The 15,451-nt window shown below is 34.4% G+C and overlaps 1 protein-coding gene across 4 annotated transcripts in view; it reads left to right on the top strand.

The window, feature by feature from the left end:
* The window catches only part of SLCO1C1 (solute carrier organic anion transporter family member 1C1), a 58,055-nt gene continuing 49,329 nt past the window's right edge, over window positions 6,726-15,451 (top strand). For 2 of the 4 annotated variants that reach the window (NM_001145946.2, NM_001145945.2), the window contains exons 1-4: window positions 6,726-7,006; window positions 7,130-7,201; window positions 10,946-11,099; window positions 12,712-12,853. In NM_001145946.2, the coding sequence (NP_001139418.1) occupies window positions 10,971-11,099; window positions 12,712-12,853 (271 nt within the window). In that variant the 5' untranslated portion in view covers window positions 6,726-7,006; window positions 7,130-7,201; window positions 10,946-10,970. Of the gene's footprint in view, window positions 7,202-10,945; window positions 11,100-12,711; window positions 12,854-15,451 lie in introns of all 4 variants that reach the window. The other 2 variants (NM_017435.5, NM_001145944.2) reach the window with 2 other exon arrangements.

Consider the following 15,451-nt stretch of genomic DNA (forward strand, 5'->3'; position numbering starts at 1 on the left):
CAATCCACTTCCTCCAGTCCTCTGAAGGCATCCTTTCCTCTTATATGCAAATACCATGGTGTGGTACCTAACTTACTCTGTTGTGAGACGACATCTATTGGCCTTCCTACAATATCCAAAGAACCTTGTGGGGCTTATATTCTCGTGGTCACATCTTTCTCACTATCACTAATGAATTCATAGCCACATTTAGTCATCATCTAACTTTCTGCAACTAAGTTGTGTCCTTTCTTTAATCAAATAGCACCAAAGCCAAAATACCCACATTTCTGGCATTCAGCTTTAGAGTCCTATAAAATAGACAGTTGTATTTCTACCTAGGTTTCCTAAGAAATTGATTCTTCAATCTACACCTATTATTTCCCCATTACCTATGATATCAAATCCCAACTCCTAAGCCTGATGTTTTCAAATCCCCCTTTGCTCTGGCCTGAAACTACCCTCTCCAGCTTCCTGCTCCAAAAGGAACCTTCCACTTATCATTTATATTTCTTTATCTCAGGCAAATACATCAGTTGAGTTAGTGCACTTTCTATAAACATACACTTTCTCTCTCTCTCACACACACACACACACACACACACACACACTTCCAACTATACACAGCACAAGAAGACGAGATTGACTATCTCTTCTTCAGGTGTGAATTTTACTCCTCTCTCAGGGTTTTCCTCTTACAATCATGTCATGGCTCTGAGTGGACGGGAGATGATTGCTTGGCAGTCTAGTCTGAACCTTTAACGCCATCCTTCAATTAAGTGTTCTTAAAACAAGTCTTAAGGAAGGAAAATTTAAATTACATGGTGTGAGGGATAATAATGGGTAAGTTCTAATGGAGACTAACATCCAGGCCAGAGAAGAGGGATTATTCTGATCATTACCTAAAATAGGAAGCCTGAGACATCAGATTAGTGTGTCCTTGTTCACACCAATTCACACGTAGTCCAGCTTTACAGGTCACCCCCAAGCCTGTAAATTCTACCCCATGTGGTTCAGCAGGCTTTGGGGGTGCTTTCTATCTCTAAAATTTTTGGTTCGACTTGTTCAGATGAAATAATTTCCAGTAAGGGATACTTTCACCAGAATACACAGTGGTTCCATTACCCTGGAGCCAAGGCTACTATTTGGATATTTTTTTATACTTTAAGTTTTAGGGTACATGTGCACAACGTGCAGGTTTGTTACATATGTATACATGTGCCATTTTGGTTTGCTGCACCCGTTAACTCGTCATTTAACATTAGGTATATTTTGTTGTCTCATGTTACTGAACCATCAGGGTAGAAAGTGATTGATCCCAGTTTACTAGGCTGAAGTGTGGTTTCTGATATCAAAACAGTGGCAAGAAAGATTGTGTTTGGAATGCAAAGAATTCTGCATGGAGCCCTTAATGCTTCCATGTTACATAGTGAGTGTGGTGGGACACTGGAGTCACCCAATAAAAACAGAACCACTAAGAAAATTGACCTTGCAAGAATTAACTTGCAGGTCATCCTATCAGTAAAAATGTTCCACCATGAGAAGTCCTAACAGAGGGCAATGAAAACGTGGAATGGATAGTGGAAAACAAAAGTTTTATGTCAACATTGGCTTCGTAGTCAAATATAGAAATAAATTTGGAATTTATCCACTAACACTTTTTAATCTATTTACATATGTGTATATCTGTCTCTGTATCATTTATTTAAAACTCAATATGAAAATTTTCAAATGTATTCAAACAAGAGAGAATAGTAGAGTGAACACCAGGTGCCTATCACCTAGCTCAAACAATTAATATACTGCCAATCTGTTCCATACATACCTCCCAATATTTAGTACATCTCCTCTATATGAAAATATATGAAATTCTATATGAATATATGAATTTCTATATGAAAATATAGAAATATAGAAATATATGAATTTCTATATGAAAATATAACATATCCTTCTATTAGTAAATGATTTGTAAAAAAAAAAAAGAAAAGAAGTGCTATATTTACCTCTAAAACAATTATACCACCATTATCATCCCTAAAAAAAACTAACACAAATTACTCAATACAACAAATATCCACAGTGTTCTCATTTCTGAGGTTATAAAACTTCTAAGAAGATTACAAAGAAGTCTTCTTGTTATAGTTTGTTTCTTTTTGAATAGGTGTACGAAGTCTGTACATTGTAATTGGTCAGTTCATTTCTTAAGTTAAAATATACAATTTCTCCCTCCTCTCCTTTTTTCCTTGTGGTTTTTGGTTGGAAAAAATATTGACTTATTTGTCCTAAATAGATTCTTTACTTTCAATTTTGCTGATTGTATCTTTTGTGGTGTCATTTAACTTGCTCTTCTCTTCCCTATATTTCTTATGGACTGGTACTTAAATCTAATCTGAGATTTGATAAGATTAGTTTTCTTTGGAAGTAAAAAGGAGGACTATTTCAAAGGTGGTGTTTCAAGCTTTTAACTTCCATCAGGATGTTGAAAATGGCTTGAGATTTTTGGTGATATTATTGGTCATTGATTACCTTTCGCTAAATTCATTAATTCATTAGAGGTTTGAAAATTATAATACTCTCACTTATAAGTGAGGCTAAACATTAGGTACACATGGACATAAAAATGGGAACAATAGACATGGCACATTACTTGAGGGGGAGATGGAGGAGAAAGGCAAGGGCTGAAAAACTACCTATTGGGTACCATGCTCACTATCTAGTTGATGGAATCATTTTACCCCAAAACTCAGTGTCTCACAATATACCCATGTAAAAAATCTGCACATATACTCTCTGAATCTAAAATTAAAAATTATAAAATTAAATATCTAATAGCTTAATTCTACTAGAAATTAATCTACTTATTTATAATATAGAATTATAAAAACTTTATAGCGAGGGTCTGAACTGATCATATTAACAGAAATTTTTCAAAATGGTTAGGAATCATCCTTATACAATAACTACTTTCTCAATTTCTCTACTGTGCCACAAAAACCAAGCTATGCAAATAAAATCCATTAGAGCTCTACCAATCTAAAAGCAATTGAAAATTAGTATATTTTCTACATTTTTTTCTTTAACCTTTGCATTTGACTCAAATGAGTTTAAGGATTTTGTATTTTTAATATTGTTTTTATTAAATCTGTTCTAGAAATAAATTTATCATCTCTGGAGAATAGTCTCTATTTTCAGACTATTTGTTGGACTAAACCAAGGTTGCACTGGTATTATTTCAGTAAAACTTCAAAACCTTACCAAAATCCTTTCAGGATACTTTAAGATTGAATTACATTTCAATAAATATTAATTACCCTAAGAAAGAAAAGAAAATTATAATATTCTTATTCTCTCATCCTTTTTTGTTTATTAGTTGGAATTCTATGAAGAGAAATTTGTCTTTACTCTGTAATAACTCTAAGGAAAGAATGGAATAGAAAAGCTAGGATAAACACACAATTTCTCCCTAAATACCACTAGTTTTAAATCTATTAATATTTAAGTTGTGTTTAGAATTACTCCAAAGTGACCATGTGATGTTTTAATAGTGTTTTTAACTCATAAATTTTGTGATTTTATATGTTTCAACCATTACTATTTTATATGTTTCAACCATTACAATTATTCTTACCAATGCTCAAACTTTCCTATATTTGATTAGCAGAAACCTGTTCAGGCTGGCTTCTGAATCCTATTGGCACAATGTAGTCTTCAAGGCATCCCAGCTCTTTTTTATGACAAGATATTCCAGGCCTATCTTATATCTTTACACCTGGTATTAGTCACATATCAAGGATCCATGGTGCTTTTATTTATGGTGCTAGTTGCACTTATTACTACTTAGTTGATCATTGTTTCTAGACCTTTTCAGTGGAGAGAGCTAATACACACACACGTAGATATCTATATCTATCTATATCTATATCTGTATCTACATATCTCCTGTATATATGTATACATTTTTCCAGACTGAAAAACTCAACTCAAATTTGGGTATACAAAATATTCCCTAACCTCATTGGATCTTATATTATAGATTATATTTAAAGCCATGACACCAGATAAGGTCATTAAGGAAGTAAATATAGACAGCAAAGAAGATATTCCACAGACTGAATTTTGGAATATTCTAGCAATGAAGACTAAGAGCAAATGACCACTGAAGTAGGAGGAAAACCAGGGGTGTGTGGTGAAACCAAGTGAATAAAATGTATCAAAGAGAAGGGCACATTAATGACATACAATTCTGCTAATACATCAATTAAAATGAGGTCTGGATATTGATCACTGGATTTATTAGTGTGAATGCCTTTAATGTTCTTGATGAAAATATTTGCATTGGAGTGGTAAAGGCAAAACCTGATTAGAGTTGGTGAAAAATGAACTGGAGGAGAGGAAATATATACAAGGAATGTGACTAAAGTTTGGGCTTAGAAACATGGACTGTAGGAGCAAGAAGGAAGACAGCTAATAGCAATGTACATTTGGGTAGAGAGTAGATGTCATGAGGACAGAGTATAATATTTCTCCTGATATTTCTGTTTAGTTAGTGAATTTCCTAGACAAGATCATCAGCTAATAATCAGGGTGCAGCCAGAAATGAAGATTTGAGAGAGGTAAAGTGATTGGGTCATTAAAAAGTATTACGTCTAGCAATGCCTCTATGACTCAGTGAGTTTAGTGGTTATAAATATAAAATAAGCCCTAAGGGCATGTTACTGAGTTGTTCTTCAATCACTTAAAACAGTGCGGATGCAAATACTAAGAAGAAAGAAAGTGGATTTATCTGAGGTGAGCTTTGCCTGGGAAGATCAATAAATTGAAAGAGAAACAGGAGAATTGAGGGTATACAGAAGGAAGTGATTAAAATAATTGCATGAAAAAATTCAAGTAAGGAGGAAAATGAAAATATGAGTGTACTGGCTTGAATTGTGTCTCCCAAAAAGATATGAGGAAGTCCTAACCCCCGGTACCTGTGAATGTCACCTTTCCTGAAAAGAGAGTCTTAGCAGACCTTATCAAGTTAAGATGAGGTCATGAGGGTGGTCCCCAGCCAAAGATGACTAGCGTTTTTTTAAGTACAGAGGACAGAGACATAAAGGGAGAAGATGGCCATGTGGTAACAGAAGCAGCTGTTGGAGTGATACACCTATAAAACAAGGAGTTCAGGCTGTCAGCAAACACCAGGAGGTGGAAGAGGTAAGGAGGATTCTTCCCTACAGGTCTCAGAGGGAGCATGGCTCTGCTGACACCTTGATTTTTGACTTCTGGCCTCCAAAAGTGTGAGACAATAAAGTTCTGTTTTAGGTCACTCAGCTTGTAGTACTTTGTTAGTGCAGTCTTAGGAAATGCATTCATTTATATGTTGTCTGTGGTTAATTTACCACCAGAATGGCAGAGGTGAGTGGTTGTGATAGAGATTGCATGGTCCTACAAAACCTAAAATATTTCTTATTTGTCCCTTTATAGAAGTTTGTTAACTCCCTCATCTAGAGTTTGGAAATGGGAATGAAAGGCTGAAGTAGGCTACAATCCAATGCAAGGTTGCACATAAGAAGCTCTGAATAAGTGTAAACATTATGTGCATTCAAAACAGTAACATTAACTGTGGACTCTGGAAATAAGAAAAGGAATCGTGTTGGAGAGTGAGACTGAGCCAGTTGGGAATAGACAAAATTACATTCTCAAGGGAGAATTTCATTTCTTGGTGAGGAAAATTATGCCCTTTGGGCTGGTAAATACTGTCTCCTCTTGAATAAAACAGTGGTCTGGCCACCTGTTAGACACTGAGAAGTCTAGACTAACACTCAATGTATTCGGATGTTTGCTCACTATTTCCGATGGAAAAGTCTGGTTTGATTGTTAAAGTAAAATATTTGGCCTTTCAGAGTGTGAAAACACCATTGCTTCATTGCAAGGTTTAATATAAACCCATTTTTCTTGCATTTTCTTTTCTTTCTTTTGTAGTAAAATGTGCTTGAATAATATTAACTATTCTGACCATTATGTGAACTAAATATATATATATATAAAATGATGATACCTTCCGCTCATTTGCAATGTGCTTTTGAATACATTATATAATTTAATCCTTAAAACAGCCCTATAAATCTGTTTTTTTTTTTTTTAAACAAAAAAATTCTGCTTTACAAAGGAAGAAGTTGAGACTCAGTAAAATTAAGTGACCATCCCAGAGTCTCAGCCACTTAAGAGTAGGGTGAATCTTGGATAATTCTGGTAGCAAATTTATTTATTGGTAGAAAATAAATGCAAACTACTACTGCTTAAGATCCTCTAAAGTTTTTCTCTTGGAAAAAGAATGTATTAGAATTGTGGACTTTCTCAGTGCAAGGATTTATTTATCCTTGGAATTAGGCAGAATAAACAATTGAATGCCAAAAATTCAACGTGTTTCTTTTCTGTTTTCAAAACTCATAGAAATTGTAAATATGAGCAACTGATCATGTCTCTGAGAATTAACTCTTTTTGTACAGAGCGCTGCAGAGCTTTGATTGTGACCTGATACTTGGTCCTTAAAGATTCTAGAACACCAATGGAAAAGAAAACCATGTAGCAAATTAGCCCAAGAACCGTTAAAGACAAAACAAAACAAACCAAAACCAAAACACACAAACAAAGAAAACACAAGGATCCCAGTGATGTCCCTAAGGAATAGTTGGCTTAAAAACTTTCTGGAAGGAGGAGGGGTCTCTGTTATAAACTTCCGCCCTCCTCTGGCTTCTGTTCCTTACCCTCTGCCCCCTGCGGAGTTGTGTTTTCTGGGAATCAGCAAGTAAGATCACAAGTGGTCTTTTCTTTTATTCACTCTCTCCCATAAAGAAAGCTTTATCACGTGTGGCCTTAAACTTGCAGCAAATTGCAAAGAAATGGCTCAAAAGCTTCAGCTCTTTCTGTGCCCTGGGAGCTGAGATGCACGTCAGTGGCCTTGCCAGCGTGGCCAATTCTCTGCTGACTGCCAGAAAAAAGAGGCCAGGAAGAAAGAGGAAAGAGAAGAGATCGCTCAGGGGTGAGACCATGCCCTTCATCTTTTCTTTTCCCTAATCTCCTCTGCTTGTGTCCACCCACACTCTCCCCACCTGGCAAAATTGTTCAAAATTGCTGTGGAGTTTACCTCAGTTTCCTCTTTCAGTCTGTGGTGTGTGGTCCATCCTCTTGCTGAGCACATTGAAAGGAACTGGCTATCTTTGATCTCTTCCTCCAGGTAAGACTTGGTTCTCTCATTTTATATTTTGTGACTAATACATCAGATTCTTATGGGAGATTAACCCTTAATTTCTGTGCGATTTATGTTTTATCCATAAAAATATCAGTGAAAGGTGATGATCCCCTCATTAGTTTGATGGAAATAAGAGAGAAGATTGGTTAAAGAAATCAGATAAACTCAAATTTGAGTTCAAATTTTGAGTCTCATGCTTATAAATTGTTTAGCTTTTGACAAGTCACTTAATTGCTTTGGGCCATCTAATTTAAAAAATGGAATTCTAATATTACGTTTGTTGGGTTGTTTTAAGGATTAGAAAAAGTACGTACATTACTCAACACAAAAATAGTACTTATTAAATCTGAATCTGACACAGATAATTTGTATTAGGTGAGAAATTAGTTTCTAAACAACACACACTCCTCTGCAGCAAGTGCCGTGAGGCTATTTTTTAGTTTGTCTGAAGGGAGGCATCCTGGTGTCCAGAAGTCAAGCCAGGACAGAGGTTTTCCTCACAGGAGATGGCCAAGAGAAGAGAGGGAGGAGCGTGGTTGCCTTTAGGACTTTCTCTGTGGCAGTCCTTGGGGACTGATTGCTGGACAGAGTCCGAGTCAGTTGCAGAGCAGAGGGGTTGAGTACATCTGCGGGATCTAACTACAACCTTCCTAAGCCACTTGCTCTCTCCATTTAAAATCTGGAGGGCTGATTTTGAAACTAATGAGGACTGATTATTCAATGTTTTTGAACCAAAGGAAGAGAAACTGCTTGGCTTGTTTTTCTTTGGCCTCCAGAATAAGTTATGCTCCAAACCCAGGGTATTGGATGAAAACTGTCGTATGTCTTTTCCTGGAAGAATCTATTCAAGTGGCCAGAGATCAATTAAGGATTTGCCAAATGCAAATAATTCTGAATAACTGTGTACTCTTGCTCTACTTCTGCAGTTGCAAATGAAGAGAGAGAGCCTGCAGGCCCCAAGGATCTTTCCGTTCATGTCATTGAGCTTCCTTCCCTCTCTTTTTACAGGGGATGAACTGTAGCCTCCTTGGAACATACTACACTTGCAATAATTTGCGCATTAACCATCAAGACACTTCAGTAAAGCTATGCAGTGCCAATAGTTTAAGCTGGATCCTATTTTGCCCTAACACAAAGTGAACTGAGATGACTATATTTATATTTCATTATACTTTTGAATTTTAGTTACAGTGATTTTTGTGTCAACACCTCCATATATTAGATAACTTAAAATGTGCTATAGTATCTCAAGTTTTTCAGTAGTGTTTTTAACATAATTATTTTTTCTCTTTGACATTAGCATTCTAGATGTAACACTTTGGATCTTTTAAAGATAAATTTAGGATAAATGATAGCAGATTTTATTATTAAACAATTTATTTGTATTTTCTGGTCACTGACTTTAATATTATGACTGATGAGAAATAATATGATATCTGAATCCCCAAAAACAGAAGGCCAATTTGAATTATATAATTTAATCCTTTGAAGAATATTGCAATTTAAGCCAGAAATTTAATAATTATCCGTTTCTTATTTTAAAACCTTTCTGGTTTGTATATCTCTTGCTTGGCAATATTTTTACTCATAGTTTTGTAGTAAAGATACCTATTTAACATTGTATAACTCTGCATTTCCCAAACCCTGTTTTCCTTGTCCTGGCAAAATACTGTTCTAGAAAAGTAGTCCTAGTGACTCAGTAGATATAGGAAGTTGGCTGTTGGTATCAGATACTGTTAAGGAAGAATCTCTATATTCTTCATTTCTTAAACTTTGTTTTTTAAATCAGTAATAGATGTCGAATTTTATCAACTGATGTTTTTCATGTAATGAAATTCTATTTTTTATTTTGAATTATTCATGTGGTAATTTAGGTGAATAAATTTCCTGTAATTAACCAATTGTTGCATCTTTTAGAATAATTCTAATCATAGAGCAAGAGTTAATTTGGATTTGCTAGCATTTACTTAGAATTTTTATAATCTATGGGCTTGATCTGAAGTTTTCCTTTCTGTGCTATCTTTGTGCTGTTTTGTTACCAAGATAATGTTATTTTTGTCAAACTAATGGAGACAATGATTATCTGTTTCCATTATCGGCTATCTTTCCTCAAAGAATATCCCTTGATAAAGCACTTCTGGTGCATCATCTATCCTTAGTATCTTTGTTTAGGGAATAGTTTCAGAGTATTTTTGATAATGTCTTTCTTGGCTATTTTCTCTTCTGGTTTTTATCAATATAGGTAATGAATATTTGCTAGAAACTTATCCATTAAGTCAAGATATTAAACTTACTTCAACATTCGATGCATCTTTTTATGTTTTATACTCCTAAATATCTGTGTTTTATCTCATTAATATTATGTATTTATATCTTTGTTTTTTGTCTTGATTAACATTATTAGCTCTTTGTTTTGCTTATTTTTTGTTTTTAAATTTTTCTCTTTCACTCACTCTTCTTTTTCAATTAAAAAATTAAAGTTATGAATGCTTATAAAATGAATCCAAAAGCCTAATAATAATTTTTTTGAAACCAGACCCTTGTCTCATCCTTTCCTTTAGTCAATTCCCACTCCCTAGAGGAATCCACTTAATTTTTAAATTGTTGAAGTCCTCTGATGTTTTAACTTCATATTATTAATACAAAGCAAATCGTTTATACTATTACTTGATTTTTCAGTTTGAGAAAGTATGAATTGAAATGGTGAGGGATGAGGTTTAGTGAACACAAAACAAGCATTGCATAAAGTCAAGGTGATATACTCAGTCAGAATAGATTTCTGCCACAATACATGAAATTTGACTCCTAACATTATTCCTTTAGGAATAACATTATTCCACTCCTATTATGTGGATATAGAAGTCCTCTATTAATGTACAATTGGGTCATCTGATAATATTAGGGAGATTGAGAAATACTTTGTTTGTTGAATTCCTTGATTTAGGTTAGATTATCAGGCAGGCACTGAGCCATGTGGAATCCTAAAGAAGTAGGGGCACAGGATATGTAAATATTGATGTGAACAGGGAGAAAATAGGTTCAGTGTGTGATCCTGTCCTGTGAGGGGCGGTGGGAAATTGAGCATGGGAAGCAAGGCTGTCTTTTTTACTTTAAGGCTGATCAAAGACTGTTCTTTCACCTGAATTAAATCTAAGGCACAAATCATGTTGCTCCCTTATTTATCAAACAAAAACAATACACAAATTGGACCTCTTCTTTTTTGTCATATTTTAAGGCTCACATTGGGTGCTACAGGAATCATAAGGTGGTACAGGGACCTATAATGAATGTAAAACTTCTATTTGTTTTGCTAAGAAGATAGATTTAAAGGCTTTAAAGACTTTATCCTAATGAATCAATATTCAAATAGTTGAATTCCTCTTCTTCCTTTCCTGCTTGCTCCTAGTTTAAACTGGCAAGACCACAAAGTTAGCAAAATTCTGCCTCATTATTTATTCCAAAGGCAACACTTAAATTTATTCTTTGCCATAATGAGGCTTAAACTGGGCAGATTGAGAAAGAATGCTGGCTACAGAGTTCCAATAGCAGGATTAGTTAATCAGATATCCTGGTTGATTTTAATTGAAAACATTTGCCAACTTACTGTGACAACAAAAGGTAGATTCACTTTAAATTGCGTCTATAGAATTGTGGTATACTGTTGAATAAAAAAATTTAATAAATTGCGTAGTATTTATTTATTTTTACTTTAAAAACTAACTTTGACAGATCAGAGTCAAGGAATGTGTTTATAATGGACACTTCATCCAAAGAAAATATCCAGTTGTTCTGCAAAACTTCAGTGCAACCTGTTGGAAGGCCTTCTTTTAAAACAGAATATCCCTCCTCAGAAGAAAAGCAACCATGCTGTGGTGAACTAAAGGTAGAGCAACCAAGAAGTAAATAGTGTTGATGCTCTTAGTTTTCTGTCCAGATATCATCTATATAATGAAGTTAGAATGAGAATTGTTTTCTCCTTTAAAAAAAAAAAAAGATCTTAGATGCAATTTACTAAAACCACACCTTGCCAGGCGGTGCAAGCAATCTCTACCTGACCATGTGGGTTAAATTACTTTCCTGGGCTCATTTAAATGCCCCCCCAAACAGAAAAGAGAGAAATAGTAGAAACTAGTATTTATTGAACTTCTGCCATGTGCCAGATATTAAGCCAAGCACAGATATAACATTTAATTTGTGAAACATCACATTACTCCCATTTTGCAAATAAAAATGGGAATAATGTTACAGAGTAGGGAGAAGAGTTGCTTTTTTTTTTTTTTAGGATTGTTGTATCAAACAATAGTTTTTAGTTTTTTGAGGAACCTCCATACTATTATATTTTCCAAAGAGACTACATCAACTTATGTAACCACTAACCATGTACAAAGATTCCCTTTTCTTTACATTCTAACCAGTTTTTATTTTTTGTTATAGCCAACAGATGTGAAGTGATATGTCATAAAGATTTTTATTTGCATCTCCATAATGACTAGTGATGTTGAGCACCTTTTTCATATACCTGTTGGCCATGCCTTCTTTTAAGTAATGTCTATTTAGATTATTTGCCCATTGTTAAAATCATGCTATTTTTCTTTGCTATTTAGTGATAGAAGTTTCTTTTTTTTAATTATTTTTTAATTATTATACTTTAAGTTCTAGGGTACATGTGCACACGTGCAGGTTTGTTACATACGTATACATGTGCCATGTTGGTGTGCTGCACCCGTTAACTCGTCATTTACATTAGGTATATCTCCTAATGCTGTCCCTCCCCGCTCCCCCAATCCCCCGAGAATAGTTGTTTCTTAAGGGATGCTTTGTGTGCTCCTATTCTTTCTTTATACAAATATTCACTCAACAAATCTCTGCTTTTTTCATATAAATGCTAACCTTCCCTATGAATGTTCTATCACAGACCCATGTCTATCAAAATATATAAGCTAGATATCAAAGACATGTTTTCCATTGAGAAAAATATTTGACTATGAATTTAATAAGTATAAACATAAACACAAGGAATAATAGTTGCACTTTTTCAGTCTGTACATTATGTTCCCGGCTGGTGCATGCACCACCCTGTGAAATACATAATCCCAAGTGCTGGACTTGTTATAGGATGTCAAGTGTTTGGCTTATGGTTTCATTTACTTTCTTACCAATGAATGTCTCACCATACACTGACTCTTCAATGTAAGACTCCTTTGAGTGCCCCTCTGGAGCAGAGTGGAAGAAGACAAAAGATAATTCAATACACATTTCGCATAAAAACCAAATATATATTTTAAATTCCAAGAGAATTTGAACTGTTGAAAACTTACAGTGCTTAAGGCTGATGGAAACCTCGAACAGTGTTTGAATTAAAGTTTCAGTGATAATAAAGTTGATATTATACATTGTTCTTTGTTGTTTGTTTTGTATTTGTTTGTCTATTTACTTAGTTTCCAATTGTGTGTCAAGCTGGAGTCAGACTAAGTGTGACCTGTCATATTTTCCAGGTGTTCTTGTGTGCCTTGTCTTTTGTTTACTTTGCCAAAGCATTGGCAGAAGGCTATCTGAAGAGCACCATCACTCAGATAGAGAGAAGGTTTGATATCCCTTCTTCACTGGTGGGAGTTATTGATGGTAGTTTTGAAATTGGTAGGTATTACAGATGCCTGACTTTAATTTTAAGCCCAAGATCTTCTAGGTGTGGCTAAAGAACACCTTCTGCATTCTATTGTCTGCTGGGATCAGACTCTATTCATAAAATCTTTTTTTTTTTTTTTGGACAGAATTTACCATGATCTTATTCTACAGGAGAGGCAATTTTCTCAGAGCAATCAACAGTAAATTTTTCTCCCCAGGTGTTTGGTATTGTATGGTTCACACAATTCAGAGTTCTACATCAGAGTAAGTGACTTTCTTGGAGGAAAGGGTGAGATGCTAATTGGTATTTTGAGTTATAAATATGTAGAAGTATCTTTACAGAAGAACAATACACCCTGGGAGCACTATGATTCAATTTTAGAGGTGTGGAATAATCCAAATGCGCTCTACAAGAATTTACTGCAATGATGAATAGAAGTTACATCATAAAAGGGATTTTTCCACCCAGTGGTCTAGAAAGAAGAATAAAGGGATTCTATTACCAAGAACACAAGATCAGAGCAGGCAATAAAAATTCAAATCTCAGGTGCCTTTGGTTAGCAATTGACTACAGACTCCTTAGAAATTAAAAAGATCGAGTAATTTGAGTCACTGTTTTAGAAGTAATTTAAAGAGGATAATCCTAGTTAGTCTGCTTCCTGAATTGATAAACTAAAAGGCTTTAATTTTTTGCTGAAGTAAACGAAATAGTACCCTCTCTGGTCCTTAAGGCTTGTTTAGATTCAGATATACACCATAGTAAAACCTCTAACTGCTCCAATTTTAGCTTTACCTGGTGAACTTTCAGAAAAGTGAATAAATATTTTTCAACTCTTTAACAATTTATTTCTTTTCATACATACTATGTGTTTTGGTTCTTACTCTGAATATCACAGAAAAAATAAAATGAATAAGTAACCTTTTGCCTTCAGGCATTTGCTTCCCAAATTCATCTTTTGTCATCCTTCCAGAATGACATTTCTTAGTGCCAAATTTTAATGTCCACACAAATAACTGGGCAATCTTTTAAAAATCTTTTTTTAAAACCTGAATTGGTAGGAACAGGATAAAATTCTGCATTTCTAATAAGCTCCTAAATGATACTGATGCTTCTAGTCAGTAGATCACATTTTGTGTAGCAGGTTTCCAAAACATCTGATCACATCAATCTTTTATGTAATTTGCTTAGATTGGCCCGGATGGTTGATTTATTCCTTGAGCCCTGTTCTACTGATGGCCCTGCACTGAGTGAAGGGCCAAAGAGAATCAAGGTAAAGGGTGATACATTATATCATGAGAGAAAAACAAGGAGAAAGAGGTAACTGGTGCAGATAAAAGAATAGAGCAGATATGAGCAGGCAAAACATTATATATCATGATGTTTTGATGTTTTTCTCACTCTAGATTATTATATAAAAATATTTTAGAGCTGAAGAGGCATAGAAATGATTTGGTCCAAAGTTTTGTTTGGGCTCCCAGGTCCTGATGCAACTTGAGAGACAAAGTTTATATTTGATAGAGAGAGTATACTAAGTTTTCACAGGAAGTAGCAGAAAACCATGACTCCAAATTCACATTAATTCTTCCAGACCATTCTAGGTATATAAATTATTTATTGGATTGGATGCCTTAAAATGGCTTAAAAGTTCTCTTACTTCCATTGAAAACCTTTATCCCAAACATCACAGGTTTGCCCTAATTATTTGAGTTACATAAATTTCCAGACAAATGACTTCGCTGAACATAATCTTAATTTACTTCTTTTGCCTCTTTTTGCATTCCTTCTTTTCAAGATTCTAGAACAAATATCATCCTCCGTCTTTATGTTATTTGTATGTGGCAACTTTGTTGAAATTCTATTAGTTTTAATTGATTTTCCATGGAAACTGTAGAGTTTTGTGGACAAATTGTCTAAAACAAAATATAATTTCGTATCTTTCTTTGCAACTCTTAGATTTTTGTTGTTGTTGTTGATATTACCTTATTACATTAGCCTCAGAACTGTGTTGAAGAGAAGCATTTACAATGGACATCTTTCTCTTGTGTTTGACCTTGATGCAAATACTTTTAAAATTTTAGTATTAAGCAATATGCTTGCTTTGTGGTTTTGATAGATACACTTTAAAAGCTGGTTTGCTCAGATTTGTTTTTTCCTAACATAAATCAATGGTTAATTTTATTTAGTACTTTTACAGTGTCTATTAAGTTAACCATGGAATTATTCCCCTTCCATTTGTTATATAGGGATTTAATTAATAATTTATTGTTAGTTGGTGGTACTCTTGTACTACTATAATGAACTGCGCTTGGTTGGGATATTTTTATTTGTATATACTATTCCGTTTGCTAATAATTTGTTTAGGATTTTTACATCTATCTTCATAATCAAGTTTGGGCTCTAATTGTCTTTTCTTATATTGTCCTTGTCCAGTTTTGGTTTTAAGAAAATAGTAGTCTTACAAGATGAATTGAGTAGCTTTCTTTTTTTTCTGTTATCTCGAGTGTGTCTGTGTGTGTGTGTGTGTGTGTGTGTGTGTGTGCATAGACAGACAGAAAAAGAGAGGAGAGCAAGAATATGTTACTTTAAAGTTTGGTAAGACATATTTCTAA

The sequence above is a fragment of the Homo sapiens genome, chromosome 12, assembly GCF_000001405.40.
Source record: "Homo sapiens chromosome 12, GRCh38.p14 Primary Assembly".
Classification (NCBI taxonomy): Eukaryota; Metazoa; Chordata; class Mammalia; order Primates; family Hominidae; genus Homo; species Homo sapiens.